The following is a 16,846-nucleotide window of genomic DNA, read 5'->3' on the forward strand; positions in this document are numbered from 1 at the left end:
AATGGTTTTCTGAAACGTAATAATATGTGGTATTTTTTATTAAGTGTTTTGTTGTTGTTTGTGTGTGTAAAATCAAACAGTGAGTAAAAGTTGAATGGAATCGGTTTTCCATTCTTTGGGCAGTTAATAGTATTACAGCCAGATGTCCTCATACAAGGAAGTCTGTGAAATCATATCTTGGGAATAGAATGGTTTTCACTAATGCAGAAATTCCTAACTCAAAAGACTTTCCCAAAGAGTGAGATTCCTCAGTTAAATCTCTTTCTAAGAATCTTTCTAACTTTGAATATAGATTTCATAAAAATCTCAAATCATTGATAAGCTATAGTTTTATGAAATAAATTATTACTCTCAACTCCTTACTTTTCTAAAATCTATTTTTTTTGCATCTCAAAATATTATTACAGTTTGCTAAAATGAGTTTTAAAATGGAAAACCTACATAGTGGTATGAAACAGATATCCTCTTGATTACTTCTTTTTTTAAGGGATGAATAGGTGAGACGTTAGAACTTTACTTAGGAAGAGGTTCTTGAAAATTAACCCTGAACTATCTGTTCTTAAATGGCCCAAATAACTGACATTATAAAGATTAAAAGCTTTGAGTTTGGTCCTTTTTTGGAGTTGCTTTTATATATACATATCTACTTAAGTTGCGTTCTCTACCATGAAATCTGGGGATTAGAAAATACTTAGACCAAGCCACAGGCATATTCGTTTAGCTCACATTATGTTTTAAAAATTGAGTTAGTTGCCAATGTTTTAATCAGAAGATTTTATGTAAAAGTCTTAAATTCTAGCTTCGTGATAAAAGTCAGAATACCTGATAATATTGGGCCAGCATTCCCACTCTAATATAATGTTTTGAAGCTGAATAGAAGTTACCCTCGTTAGACGAGGCACATGCAACCTGGTTACCATTATTTTCACTTTCCATACTTTTATAATCTGCCTGGTTGTCCTAGGCATTTGAGTTTGAGACAATGACAGAGTTGTGGCTGAAGGATTCAAACATGCCTCTGACGTTTGATAAACAAACACAATTTGAGGGCTACTTCTGGGCATATCAGTGGTACATCAGTGACAAAGGATTGAGACCCTCAGATGGATGGGTGCAAAGAGAAATGAGGAACTTAAGAATTCCATATGCCACCTGATCAAGCTCTGAATAGCAGTGGTACAGGTTCTGCCCATCTTTGAACCATATCATAAAACCTGATTTTGGCAGTAATACTTCAGCACAGATTGTACCTGCTGTTTTTAAAATACTGCTTATCAGTCATTTTTAGCATCATATTGATATCAAGGCCAACACAGCCTAAAATTTTGACTTCCCTCAATGCTGCTGAAAGCTACAAAGAAAGGAGGACAATAATTATAATCCCAAATTACCCTTAATTCTGAACTCAGGAATTTAGGCAAACTAACTAAATAGTAGACCTTTCTTTTGATCAAATTTTGGATTGGCACAGTCTTTAAGAGATGTGATATTTGATCTGTATTTTTGTTAAAAATCTTGTGAATTCTGCAGTGAATTTTTTCCAGAGTAGTTATCATTGTCCTACCAATTAGAAATTTTAATGTTGATTAAAAAGCAAAACGGTCCAAATGTCTGCAGTTTTACTTTCTAAAACAGAGAAATGAAATGGATCAGCACTACAGAAAATTATCAAAATTAGCTTTTAATAGCAGTAGCTAACGTTATGCAGTGCTTATTATGTGCCATCCCTTTGAGATAGATATCCCCACTTTTAGATGAGAAAATTGAGGCATGGATAGGGGATTAAATTTGTCTAAATTTGCAGAGCATGAGGATTTGTTTCTAGGAATTTGTTTAAAGATTATACAATGCTTTGCGATGGTTATAGTCTTGTTTTATAGATTAAGTGCTTTTAATCGCTTGGCTCCACCCTCTTTCAGTTTGCGCTCTCTCAGACATACGTGACAGCCACCACTGAATTTCACAAAGGTCTTTTTTTCAGACATTGTAAGAATGTGCAGGAGTCCAATGTTTTTTGGGCTTTGGGGACATTCTGTATGAAACTTAAGGATTTATAGTCATATGTATTGTAATAACAGACAAAACCAAAATTCATTAATATGAAGATTGGTAGAAACTGTGGATTTTCCTTATAAAACAAAATCATATATTTCCATTTTAAATGTCATTTTTTTCTCTTCTGAGATTGTTTGAATATAGCCAATGTGTGTTCTTAAATTTAGTTTTTAAATGTGGTAATGTACAAAGATGAAAATTACGGTGAGACTATTTGGATTTTTTTAAGAATGGCATCTGGCCACAGAATTGCAATCCATACACTACACAACATAAAAAACATACATTACAGCACTAAATATAGTTCAGGCTTGCCTTTGCTTCTGACTTCAAGGACTGAACCATATAAACACAAGGCAGATGAACTAGTGAGAAGTCACTTGGTGTAGAAGTCCTTGTTAATTAAAGTGTCCATGGACCAGCAGCATGGGCATCACCCAGGAGCTTGTAAAAAGCAGACTCTCAGACCCCAGCTTTGACCTATGGAAGCGGAATTTATATTTACATCAACAGATTATTCCTATGCACACTAATGTCTGAGAAGCATTGGGTTAGATAGATTGGATTCTGCCAGTCTCTGGGAATTAGCTATTCATCTTTGAATAAGTTACTATGTTCTATGTATTTTAGTTTCCTCCATTTCTTGCTACTTACTACATGTTGATTTAGAGCAACTTAATTCTGTAATCTTCATTTAGTTGCCTATAAAATAGGGATATTAATAATACCTACCTCCTATTATTATAAGGATTAAATGAGGTAATGAGTGTAAAATATATAGAATATTGTCCACATATAGTATGTGATTAATATGTGCTTGTGATGGTTCTTTTAGTTATTTCTCTGGTGCGCTATATAATCTTATTGATTACATGACAAGTGGAATTAGAAATTTCTTTCAAAATCTACTACACAGATATATAAATATGCTTTTAAAAATCAAAAAATTAGAAGGAGATAAATTTTCCAAGGGTTAAAGAGTCTAGTGGAAAAAACACTGGAATGGGAATTACACAGACTAAACTCTAGTCCCAATTCTTTTGACCTTGAGCCTGACATTTAACTTTTTTGATTTCATGGATATTATATAAGAATATAAAATGCCTTAACATGCTTATAGTGCAGTTATATAGATTTATAGAACTGGCAGTAACCAATTATTATGCATACATTGTCTTAATCTATGAGAATTTGTGATAGGGTGTTCAGGTGACTGCTGTTCTGTGACATTATATTGGGTACTTGTAGAAGTTTCAGTAAATCCTTCAGATTATTAAATTACTGTTTAAGCTGCAAACACATGTCCTGATTTCCTATATCTAATCCCAAATCCATTATTTATATAAGAAGTAGTTCCTTTTTGTGTATTTATATTTATTTTATTTATTTATTTATTCGAGATGGAGTCTTGCTCTGTCACCCAGGCTGGAGTGCAGTGGTGTAATCTCGCCTCACTGCAACCCCTGCCTCCCAGGTGATCCTCCTGCCTCAGCCTCCAGGCATCCACCATTACGACTGGCTAATTTTTGGTATTTTTAGTAGAGACAGAGTTTCACCATGTTGGCCAGGCTGATCTCGAACTCCTGACCTCAAGTGATCTGCCTACCTTGGCCTTCCAAAGTGTTGGGATTACAGGTGTGAGCCACCACGCCCAGCTAATTTGCTTTTTGAAACTCTGTTTATTACGCAATAATGCCAACACATTTATTAAAGCTTCAAATAAAAGTCAGCTTTCCTCTCCTCTTTATGTCATATGTTCATCTAGGTGATATATGCCTGAATCATTGCAGGCACACAACAAACCTTCACCAAATAAGACAGTAACTTTACCCTTGTTTTCTGCTCTCCATTAAATAATTCACTGGAATTTGTTGCTTCCCTTTTATGTTAGTAGAGTCTGTACCAAAATATCAACTCTATGATAACCAAGAACTTTGAGTTAGGAGCTCATTGTAACTCTTCTTTGCTTGAAAATCTGTCCCAAATTCATAATTAACTTGGCCAGTGTTTATATTGGAGTAGAGTATACTGTGAAACTTGTATAAATGAATAGAACTTCTTGGACCTTCCTTAATCTGTGGCTTTTGTTTCTCTTTTTCAATTATTAATGATAAATCTTCCCAGTGAACATGCAGCCAACACATTGAATAAATATTTCAATTAAGTCGGATGTTGATGTGAATGCAAATTAAATTAGGCAATTTTTCTGCTTATTTTAATATATCTGCAAATCATATCCCATTGAAGTGCTTTGTGATGTTTTTTAAAAAAGAGATAAAGTGATCTCTTAAAAACTGAGGAGTGCTGTTATGCTTAAGCATCAGATTCATAAATAAATAAAGACATTTCTTATCAACCTATCTCTGAGACAAAGACTTCAGCCGTTAGAAAAAAGACGTTCTCAAAGGAACCATGTTCTTAAATACAAATTTTGATACTTATCTGAAGGGGATATTTGATTATGGATTCAAAACAATACATCCAGCACTAAGAGGACCAGAAGGAATTTATGTGATGGAAAAGAGGGTGCAGCACGTGTGTGTGTGTGTGTGTGTGCATGCATGTGTGTGCGCGTGTGTGTATAAACATTGAAGCTGCAGTGTATTACAGTTATCTTCTTGTTAGCAGCTTTTAAAAGATGTAATTGACATAGATATTTAGTGTACATATTTAGTGTGGGGTACAATTTGATAAATTCTGACTTATGTATAAACCATAAAGCCATCACTGCAATCAAGATAAAAAACACATTTAGTTACTAAACATATTTAGTTATTGGAATGTCAGAACCAGATTTCATCACCAGTAAAAATTTTACTTTATGTTGCATTTCAAAAATTAAGTTAGATTTGTGTATATTCATTTGTGTTTAGTCACAAAGCATTGTTTTTGTAACTAATTAATGGTTTTTGTCTTGTTTTTTAAAAAATTTAGGGTGTGGCTGGAATGCATGCTGTAGCATGACTGGCCTCCAGTGGTGTCTTTGAAGAATAGCATCACTGGGAAAGTCAAAGCAACAGGTGAAATTTAAAAGATAAGAGCAATTTGCACATCAGCTAAGATGCTGTGGCACAGTCTAATTGGCAGGGGCTGGTGAAATAGAACATTAGATCTTCAAAAATGGAAGGTGAGAACTACCCTCTTCCAATGTTGGGATTCCTCAGTGGCAAGAAGTGCTCTGATGCTGAGTGATGCTTGACTGCAGTTATTACTCAGGAATTTTTCACAGAGGAAACATCAAGGTTTATATTGATTTTCTTTTTCTAGAAGAGACTTTTTTAGGCTGCATTTTTTTCTACTGTGTTGATGCTTCAGAATATATCTTTATTATTTACCTTTTTTCCTTTTGTGCCTTTTTCTTCTTACAGCTTTTAATTTGGTTATATACTCCAAGAACTCTAAAACTGTACCTATATGAGTAAAAATTGTTACACATAAAATGCGTTTTTGATTTGGAGTCATTTTAATGATGAATTTAGGTGCCTGAGAGTGTGCCTGTGATTTGTATCAGGCACGAAGACAAGAAATGTTTAGATCTTGAACTGCTATGTTCTGGCATGTCCTATCTCTTTATTCTTTCTTTCTATTATTCTATTGTTATCCCCAGTAGAGGAAATGTAGAATCACAAATTAGATTATGAGGATTGGGGGAGAATCTAGGTTACAATAAGTGAAACAGATTTATACCTTTCTGTTTATAAGTATAATAATAATTCTTTTATAAAAATAGAATTCTTTATCATATGAAAAGGAGAACTAGTTTCTTGTATAAATACATTTGTACTCTACATCTCACTGTCTGTGCATGCTCATATTATGTCTTCCTACAGTTTTTGTCCATGCATGTTTATAGTAGTTAACTGCAGGCTCTCATCTGTGCTAATGAGTCTGGTGAGCCACTTCGTTGGCTGCCATGTGGAATCTGAGCACATCTTTCCTTTATTCCATGTCCCTCTGGTCTATCACCAGGCTCCACTGGGATACAAAGGTGCATATTGTCTGATTAGAACCCTTCTTCCCCATGGTGCTCTGATGAGGGGCTGCCAAAGTAGTGTAGCTGTGCTCCAGCGTCTTACAAAGTTCATCCCGATTCTTCCTATAGGGTTCAAATATAAGGAGCACTCAGAAGCTGACCAGGAGTTCAGTGCCTGTGACAGCAACCAGCCTTTCCTATTTTATGAAGGACACCTTGTCACTGCATGGGTCTCCTTATGAATTGCTCCATCTTCCGTTTGAATGAGCTGTTTACAAAAGTCTCCCAGTCTCCTCATCAATCAGGATTAATTGATTTGTTAAATAACTGATTAATCACTGGAACCAATGAAACCCCAAAATCACAGTGACTTAAATAAGATAGTAGTTCATTTCTCTCCCACATAAAATAAATCCAGACGTTGGTAACCTGGGGCTGGTAAGGCGCTCCATGGGCTCAGGAATCCAGGGTCCTTCTATCTTGCTTCTCTGCCATCCTTACCATGAGGCTTCCACCTCACAGCCTGAGCTGATGGTTCAAGCTGTAACCATCATGTCCAGCAGAATCACAAAAAGTGGATAGCAGTATTTATGCTTTATCTTTAAGGCCACTTCCAAAGCTGCAAATAACTCTTTTTAAAAAAATTCTATTGGTCATCACATAGTTACATGACCATACTTTGCTTTAGATGAGACTAGGAAATGTATGCTGCAGGAGCACATATGCAGCCATGTGCCCAACTATTACTATTATTATTATTGTTGTTATCATTATTATTTTATCAAAGCAAGAAGGGAGACCATCTATTGAAGAATAAGCCTTCAATGCTGTATGTAGAAACATAGAAAAAAACCCAGTAAGTCGATTTTGCCACAATACTTATGCAAGTAGGTCTCTGGAAGACTCATTCTACCAGTCCACACAATTTGTCTAAGTCTGGGCTTAAATTCAAGCTAAGACCTACTCCATTATACTTTGCTTCATTGTAAAGTACCATATGCCTTGGGCAAAAGCAATATTAATTGCTTCCAAAGCCATCAAGGGCTATTTTATTTGGACCTTTCTGTGGCAAATATTATCACTCCTTCAATTCCAGATTTGGGCTAGGATGTCTGTCATTTACAGAGTTGTCCAGTGTCACTTTTCCTTTTTTATATCATTAGATTTTCTTAAAGTGAGTCACTCATACTCTCTCTCTCTCATATGCTGGAATAGTCTATATGATGTGACCTTTGCACCAGTTGTGCCAGATGGTGTGCTTTCATGACAAGTATTCACTCCCCTAAATTATTCCCACAAAAAGGTATAGCTGATTTCTTTTTTTCTGATAGATCTCTGTGCTAGAGTTAAGTTAATAGAACTCATTCAGATTGGTTATGGTTGTCTTCAGGTCACTCAGCAACATAATTCCTTTTCTCTGAGTGAGTCCTAGCTTATACTCTGTAAGGTAGATTTGGCTGCGTTGAGCTATTGTCTAAGAGTGGTAGACTCCAGTATGCAAATTGCACCCAATTTATACAGCTTGGGAGTGTGTTTTCTTATCAAAGATTACTCTATTTCCTAAACCAAAGGGAAAATAAATTAGGATGGACTAGTGTTAGAGAAAAAGCTACTGCTTTTGGTACATGTTCATTTCAGGAAGCACTGTATAAATGAAAACTTTCCAATTTTTGCCCAAGGGCTGACTCTGTTTGAAGGACTATTAATTTTAGACATAATCAAGAGAAATTATAGGCCCAGATGTAGGGAAATCAGAATGCTGCAAATATTTGAGCACTATTAATTATTTTAGCTTTTACAAAGCTAACTTTGAAATTTGAGTTAGCCATTAGCTCAAAGTAAAAACCCAAAATAGCTATAGATAAATTTTCCTCTTGTATATATATGTGTGTGTGTGTGTGTGTGTGTGTGTATATATATGCACACACACACACACGCACACACACATATATATGTATATATACACACACACACAAATCATAAATGTGCTTGTGTATATATAAGATAAATAAAATGATAAAGTCTAAAATATCTTAGTGGTTTATAAATGCTATTCATGTAATATTGGACAAGCCATGTTTCAGAGTTTCCACTTTCTTTTTATATTTGCCTACTGAGTGAAATTTATAGCATTGAATGAATTGTTTGGAAAAGAAAAAAGATTAAAATCCATCAATCTAAGCTTTTATCATAGAAAACTAGAGAAGATAAAGAACTATATAAACCTAAAGCAAACAGAAGAAAAGAAATAAGAATTACAGCAGATACAAATGAAATTTAAAACAATAGAGTAAAATCAATGAAACCAAAAGCTGATTATTTGAAAAGATATATAAAGTTGATAAAATTTTAGTCAAACTAACAAAGAAAAGAAGAAAGAAAACACAAATTCCTAATATCAGAAATCAAAGAGGGATGGATCATCACCGTTGATTCCATGGATATTAAAAGAGCAATAAATAAATATTATGCACAACAACTAAGATGAAGTGGACTAATTCCTTGAAAAGTACAATCTACCAAAACCTATACAAAAAGAAATAGGTGATCTGTAAGTCTGTATCTATGACAGAAATCAAATCAATGGTTAATAACCTTCTAATAAATAAAGCACCAGGCTCAAATGGTTTCACTGATGAATTCTACCAAATATTTAAGGAAGATATGATAACAATTCTCTACAATGTCTTCCAAAAAATGGAGACAGAATACTTCCTAGTTAATCCTATGAGGCTGGTATAACCCTAATTCTAAAACCCAATAAAGACAGGACAAGAAAGGAAAACTACAGACCAATATCTGTCATGAAAATAATGTAAAAATATTGAACAGAAAGATTTATATACCATTATCAAGTGAGATTTATTCTGTGTATACAAGGCTGGTTCACCATTCAAAAGTCAATTAAGGTAATTCATCACATCAACAGCCTAAAGAAGAAAAATCGTATGATCATATAAGTGAAGGTAGAAAAAGCATTAGACAAAATCCAACACCCATTCCTCAAAAAATAAAAAGAATCACAGAAAACTAGGAACTGAGGGGAACTTCCTTAACCTGATAAATAACATCTACAAAAGGCCTATAGCAAATATTAGACTTAATGGTGAGAAACTAGCTGCTTTCCCCCTAAGACTGGCAACAAGTAAAAATGTTTTCTCTTACTCTCATATTCTACATCATACTGGAAGCTTAGCTAATACAATAACACAAGAAAAGGAAATAACAGATATATTGGGAAAAAAGAAATAAAACTCTCTTTGTTCACAGATGGCATAATTGTCTATGTAGAAAATCCCAAATGGTCAACAACAATAACAAAGACCTCTTGGAACTAATATTGATGATAGCAGGATCACAGGATACAAGGTTAATATACAAAAGTCAGCTGATTTCCTATATACCATCAATGAGCAATTGGAATTGGAATTTTTCATTAGCACCAAAAAATGAAATACTTATGTGTAATTCTAATAAGACATGTATAAGATATATATGAGAAGAACCACAAAACTATAATGAAAGAAACCAAAGGAGATCTAAATAAATATTCCATGTTCATAGATAAGAAGACTCAATATTATTAAGATTTCACTTCTTCTCAACTTGATCTATAGACTCAATACAATCCCAATCAAAATCTCAGCAAGTTGTCTTGTGGATACTGACAAACTGATTCTAAAGTTTATATGGAAAGGCAAAAGACTCAGAATAATAAACACAATATGGAAGAAAAATAACAGAGGACTGACACTACCCAACTTAAGACAATATAAAGCTATAGTAATCAAGACAGTGTGGTACTGGTGAAAGAATTAACACATAGATCAATGGAAAAGAATAGAAAGCCCAGAATAGATACACACAAATACAGTGAACTGATTTTTGACCAAGATAAAAGGCAATTCAATGCAGAAATGAGAGTGTTTTCAACAAATGGTGCTGGAATAACTGCATACCCACATGCGACAAAAAGTGAATCTAGTGGCAGATATTATACTTTTCGCAAAAAGTGATGCAAAATGGATCAAGAGTTAAATGTAAAATGTAAAACGATGAAACTTCTAGAAGATAACATAGCAGAAAATCTAGGTGACCTTGGGTTTGATGATGAGTTTTTAGATACAGTACCAAAAGGATGATTCAGGAAAACAAAAATTGATAAGTTGGGCTTCTTTAAAATTTAAAACTTCTGTTTTATGAAAGACACAGTTAAAAGAATAGAAAGACAAGCCACAGGCTACAAGAAAAAAAATCTTTGCAAAACACATATCTGATAAATTGTAGCCATTATATACAAAGAAATCTTCAAACTCAACAACAAGAAAACAAGCAATCCAGTTTACACATGTGTAAGTGATCTGAACAGATACCTTATCAAAGAAGATATACAGATGGCAAAAGATGCATATGAAGAGATGCTGGACATTACATCTCATTAGGAAATCACAAATTAAAACAAGATGTTGTTTTACAGTACAAACCTATTAGAATTACTAAATCCAAAACACTGGCAATACTGAATGCTGGCAAAGAGGTGGAACAACAGAAACTGTCATTCATTGATGTTAAGAATGCAAAATGGCACAGCCACTTGGGAAATCAACTTGGTAGTGTCTTAGCAAGGCTAAACACAGTCTTACTGTACAATCTAGTGATCATACTTCTAGGTGTTTACTCAAATGAAATGAAAACTTAGGTGCACACAGAAATCTGCGCTTGAATGTTTACAGCAGCTTTATTCATAATTGTGAAAAACCAGAGGCAACCAAGATATCCCTCAATAGATGAATGGATAAACTGTGATATTACAGTTTACAATGGAATATTATTCAGTGACAAATGAACTATCAAGCCACAAAAAAATATGCAGCAGCTGTAAGGGCATATGGCTAAGTGAAGAAACAAGCCCTTTTGAAAAGGCTACATACCATTTGATTCAAACTATATAACATTTTAGAAAAGGCAAAACTTTAGAGATAGTAAAAACATCAGTGTTTTTCAGAACTTTTGTGGGGAGAAGGGGAAGTGATGAATAGATGAAGCACAGGGAATTTTTAGGGTCGTGAAACTATTCTGTATGATCTTGTAATGCTGTGTGATCCTGGAATACATGACACAATGTACTTGTCCAAACTCATAGAACTGTACAACATAAAAAGTAAACTCTGATGCAAATTATAGACCTTAATTAATTAAAAAATAGAATAAAATCAACAACAAAAACATTTTTCCGAATTATAGAGATTACTGTTGATAACATGTTCATGTATCTCTTTCCAAATGTATATATGTAAATGTATCATAATTAGTTTTTTACATACATGAATGAATTTGATATTTCTCCCTACACTGCCAAAAATCAGGCTTTGACTAAATACAGAGTAACTTTTTGCAGAGATAGTATTTCTTCTAGCTGTAAGAAGGAAATATCCTTAATTTCTCTAGGAAATTCAATATGGATCCCAAGGGATGTGTCAAATTCTAGGCATTAGTGGTGTTAACTGGACTCTAAAGATACATAACTTTAGCATTTTTAATTATCAATATTCCTTCCAATGTTCTTAGGCAACAACAAATTTTTCATTCTTTCATACATTCATGCATTCATTCATCTATCTAAGAAAAAGTTACAGAGCTCATATAACACGTCAGTTAATGTTTTTTGGCACCAGGAACTTGTCTTAGTGGAGTCTGTATTTCTATGGAGAGAAAAAAAAATTCAACAAATAAGAACCCAATTACCTATATTACTAGAAGTTGTGGTAGGTGCTATGAAAGAGGACACAGGTTTGTATAAGAGAGTTTTACAAGGAGACCTGGTTTGGCTTGAGTTGGGAATGCATTAAGGGAGGCTTCTATGACCAAGTTATACTGAAGTTGAGATTTGAAGGATGAGTCAGATGCAAGAATGAGGACAACATTCCAGGCAGAGGGAAGTACACATGCAAGCCCTGAAGTGGGAAAGACCTTGATGCACATAGGGACTGAAAGAAGGCCAGTGTCACCGGTGTATGGTGAGGATAGAGAAGCAAAGAGGGTCCAGCTCATGAAGGCTTTGGAGTTGTTACTAAGTTTAATGGAAATTTATTGGAATTATTTGGGCATTGGCTAGGTGGAAACAATTCTATAATTTGACACTGTTACACTGAGAGGAATGGTGGAGGGATGGAGTAGAAGTAGGGTAGCTGATAGGATGTTATGGTTATAGACCTGGTGAGCAGCAGCGGTGGCTGGTGGCTGTGGGGATGAAAAAAAAGTGTACATGGAAGATATATTTTGGTGGAAAAATTTATAAGACTCAGGGATAGATTGAATGTGGACAACTCCCAGGTGTTTGGCTGGGTACTATTCACTTAGATGGGGAAGCCTGGAGAAAAAAACATTTCGGGGGAAAAAATCCAAAAATAGTATGTGAGACATCAAAGTGGATATGTCAGATGGGCAGCTCAGAAAAGAGGCTAGAACCAGAGATAGGAACTTTGGATTGAGCACATATATGAGATTTACCACCATGGGAGCAGATGCTGCTGGTGGGGCGCATGTATAGGCTAAGAAGAGAGGAAGCCCCAGGACAGTTCTGAATTTGAGTTCCGATAGAAAAGGAGGACACCTCAAAGAAAACTGAAGCAAAGCAGAAAGACCATGAAAAGAACAGGAGAAAGTTGAGTGCCAGAACTAAGAAAAGAAAATTCCAAAAGAAGGAAGAATGTCCAACTGTGAAGTGCTGTTAAAAAATCAGATAATCTGAGGACTGTCAAATCTCTATGAGATTTGGCAACGTGGAGGTCACTAGTAATTTAGTAAGATATTTCCTAGTATCTTAATCACATACCTAGACGGAACTGAATTTCTAGATATCCTCCTCTTTATTGTTCTCACCTTTTGTTCCAGGACTAACTTCATTTTCAGTTCCTCTTCACTTTCCCAAGTTATTTTCCTATCCATCTATTCTCCTCACTTTGGGCCAATAGAAAAGTGTAACACAGGGAGGAGGGGAGGTGAGGAAAAGAAAACAGGACAAAAGTTAATGCAACATGGTATTTAATTTTGTGCATTCTTCACAGAATTGCTTTTCCTCCTTGTATTTGCCTAAGTATTTCATTTACTTAGAAAAACAAGTATATTTTAATTTTAAAATATTATCTGTTTCATCATGCTCAACATAAATGTAATCCTGTGTTGTCTACTCCTGAAGTGATTAAACTATAAATAGAGCTTTCTTTGCAACTTAATTTGCTATAATCCTTAGCATAAAATGAAGATGTCCTTAATGTGGAATGCAAATACTATGATATGGCTGATGTCATGAGGACTTGAAACGTTTCATCCTCTTTCACTAATTTTTTTTAAACATTCATATAAGAAAAGCCTTGGCATTAAATGCTAAGAAATAGGTGCTTAGATGGCCAGAAATTGACTGGGTTTGATGGCCTTCATGATACAAAAACATCAACTGTTTTAAAAATAGTATTATCTAAGACTGAAGATTTCTTTTAAGTGAGAAATGTATTTTGAAATTAAGGAAAAGAATGTCAGTGATGTTTTAATGGCAATTTTTGAAAGTAGTCAAAAGACACTCCAGTATATATCGTCATGAATTTATGACTAATGACTAAAATAATTTAGAATTCTGCTTAGCACTAATCAAAATCCAGTTAAAAGACTGCTTTTGTACTTTTGAAGCACGTAAGATCTTTGGAAATGCATTACTGAATATTATTTGTGCTTTTAATGCTTCATCAACATTTAGGAGTACAAGCTTCCATTGTCAGTGTTTTAAAAGTCAGCTATGTAAAGCTGATAGAGTATACATATTAAATATATCCATTAGTCATTCTCAGGAAGTGGAATATGTACACACATCTGAATATTTGCTTAAATATAAAACAAGAGTAAGATGTTTAAGCTTCAATGTAGAATAAAATACTGATATTTGGGTTTTAGGTTAAAAAATATTAGTTGTGATTTTTGTCCCCCTTTTCCTCCATGCCTTTGATTCCTTCCCTCTGAAGACAGACAAAATCCTGACTTAGGCAGTATTTTTTAAAATACCAAGGGTCTCGGAAACCTAGGGTTTGATAAGTAAGAGGAACAGATCAAATTCTAAATCTCCTTTGTCCACATTGTCATTCTCCAGCTTGTTGTTCTTTTCAGTGGTGAGGTAAGAATATAACTCCTACTTAATGTTCCTGTTCCTTAGGTGAAACACTACCACCTTTTGTTCAAAAGTTAGATGCTGGGGTTGTTGCTGTTGTTGTTTTCTTCTTTTCTTCCTTTACTTTTTAGATTTTGATGGAGACGTGGTAGGAAGTCTGGGCTGGGAAATGAGGTGAAAAAGAAAAGCAATTAGTTTGTCTTTATACAAAATAAAACCTTCTAAAAAACCTTATTATCACAAAAAAGAGCTCTACAAATCTAGATAGTTGTTTTGAAGAAGAGAAGAGAATTGTGAAAAACATGTATAATTTGGGAGGGCTGGGCACAGTGGCTTATGCCTGTAATCCCAGCACTTTGGGATGCTGAGGCAGGCAGATCACCTGAGATCAGGAGTTTGAGACCAGCCTGGCCAACATAATGAAACCCTGTCTCTACTAAAAATACAAAACATTAGCTGGGTGTGGTAACACACGTCTGTGGTCTCAGCTACTTTGGAGGCTGAGGCACGAGAATCGCTTGAACCCAGGAGGCAGAGGTTGCAGTTAGCTGAGATTGTGCCACTGCACTCCAGCTTTGGTGATAGAACGAGATTCCATCTCAAAGCTAAACAACAACAACAACAACAATAACAACAACAAAAACATGTATAACTGGGAAAAAACTGAAAGAGAATGCAGGATCATAAAAATATAGCAAACAAAGTGAGTGGGATTTAAAATTAGTGGAATAAGAAATAATGGGTAACAATGAAGAACATAATTTAGGTAATAGTATAGTATCTTGGGAGCCCTCCTGGAAGTATCTAGTTATGGACAGTGAGCAGCAGAAACAGGATGTAACTCAATTCAGCATACTTGATGGTTGTGGTAACCCTAGAAAATGACTCCAGGAAATAGGTGAGAATCCAATCAGATTGAGAGGCTAATGTTCATGACAGGGGTGCCCTAGCAGACAGGCAAAGCTGAATAGAAATTCAGGAGGAGAGGAATTTTGGCTATTTAGTAAAATTATGAGCAGTTGGTCATAGGCAAATTTTATGAGTAGGTAGCCCTTCTGAAGTCTTAGGCATATAATTAACCTAGGTTGGAATTATAATTAGACATCAAAGTTTAAACTTTTTTATCTGAACCGAGATGCAAAAGTAAATTGGTTCTGTGTTCTGGAGAATTGTAAAAGAATTCCTTAATTCCTTAGCAAAATTTGGAAGTCAGTATCAAGTGGTGAGGATAGGAAAGTTGAAGAGACTGTGGACCAGGCAAGACCTTATCAGTTGATTTAGGAAGCAGCAGTGACAGAGGCCAGACAGGTAACAAGAGAAAAGAGAAGGTGGAAAGTAAGAGACAGTTTTAATTGCTACGATAGAAAGATGGGATTTTGAAAAGATTAGCTATATGGAATAAAATTAACCAAAAATTGATCCAAGATTATAAGAAACTATTTCAAGACTCATTAATTTTACTATTGCTGTCAAACACACATTAAATCATTTTCCACTTGGGTCAGCTATAGGCATGAAGGTTCATTTGTGAAACAATTTCTGTAGAGTATTATTCCATGATCTGACATGCTTCACAAACTGTGTTTGTACATCCAACTTAAAAGCTGAATAGTCTATGGTAATTCTGCCATCATGTTTGAAATTTTCTTACCTTAAACAAAAAACCTGATCATATTGTATTACTCAAATGTGTGTAAGACTAGATTTAACTTAATGTGTACTAGTGTACAGTGTGAGACTGCATAAACAAACTTTAAAGAAATTCGTTATACATATTTTGATTTAACCTACAATGAAGTTAAGAGAAATCCTTAACCCCATTAGAGATTTGGGAGAGGGATGTGGCAACTGCTAACTTATAAATATTTTGCTAATGCTTAAATTTTACTAGCTTTCTGTCAATTCCTATTTTTACTCAAAAAATTATATAGTATTTAAATTTATAATTTGTATTCAGTTATTCTAGCTTACTATTATATGGTATGGCTTGACGGAAAGGACATTGTCTTCTTCTCTTCTGCAAAGCAGAAAAATATCCACTAAACACAAAAATATACACAGCAAATGTTAAAGTAGCCCTCTAAACCTTATGAAGACTTTTAAATCCTCAAATAGTACTTCAGAGCAACTGGATTTAATATCTTTCATCCAGCAGAGGGCTACCAAACTCCATTAGTTTCTGTGAACACACATGACAAAAAAATTCAGATGGGTTATTTCAGTGGTTTTCAGATTGTTTTAAGCAGCAGATCCTTTTCTTAAGATAGAGTTTTACAGTGTGGAAGTGAGATACACTCTCTGCTTTAATTGGAGAAGGGCCTCCAAGCTGCCTCTCCAGAAGGCCCAGAGAGGTGTGGAGGATAATTGAAACCCTCCACTCTGATTTATCCAAAAATACACTCCCACATTTAAAGTCAGCTCTTTTTGGGATCAGTCGTAATCCTTAATGCTGACACCGCATGGAAAATATATAAGCAGAATGATGCCCAAGTTATAGAAGTTCCTCTTCCTGGATTTTGTCTTCAATTGTAACTGTAGTTCCTACCGTGTGGTTGTATGTGTTGTTAGTTTGTTTTTGTTTTGTTTTGTTTGGGAAAGGTGACATTTCATCTCCAATCTAATGAGTGAGAAAGATGCTTATTCTGACAAATTTTCTTCAC

General features: G+C 34.7%; 1 protein-coding gene across 57 annotated transcripts in view; it reads left to right on the forward strand.

Moving 5' to 3' along the window:
- The window catches only part of ANK2 (ankyrin 2), a 678,115-nt gene that overhangs the window by 384,306 nt on the left and 276,963 nt on the right, over positions 1 to 16,846 (forward strand). The window lies entirely within an intron of this gene.

The sequence above is a fragment of the Homo sapiens genome, chromosome 4 (genome assembly GCF_000001405.40).
Source record: "Homo sapiens chromosome 4, GRCh38.p14 Primary Assembly".
In the NCBI taxonomy this organism is placed as follows: Eukaryota; Metazoa; Chordata; class Mammalia; order Primates; family Hominidae; genus Homo; species Homo sapiens.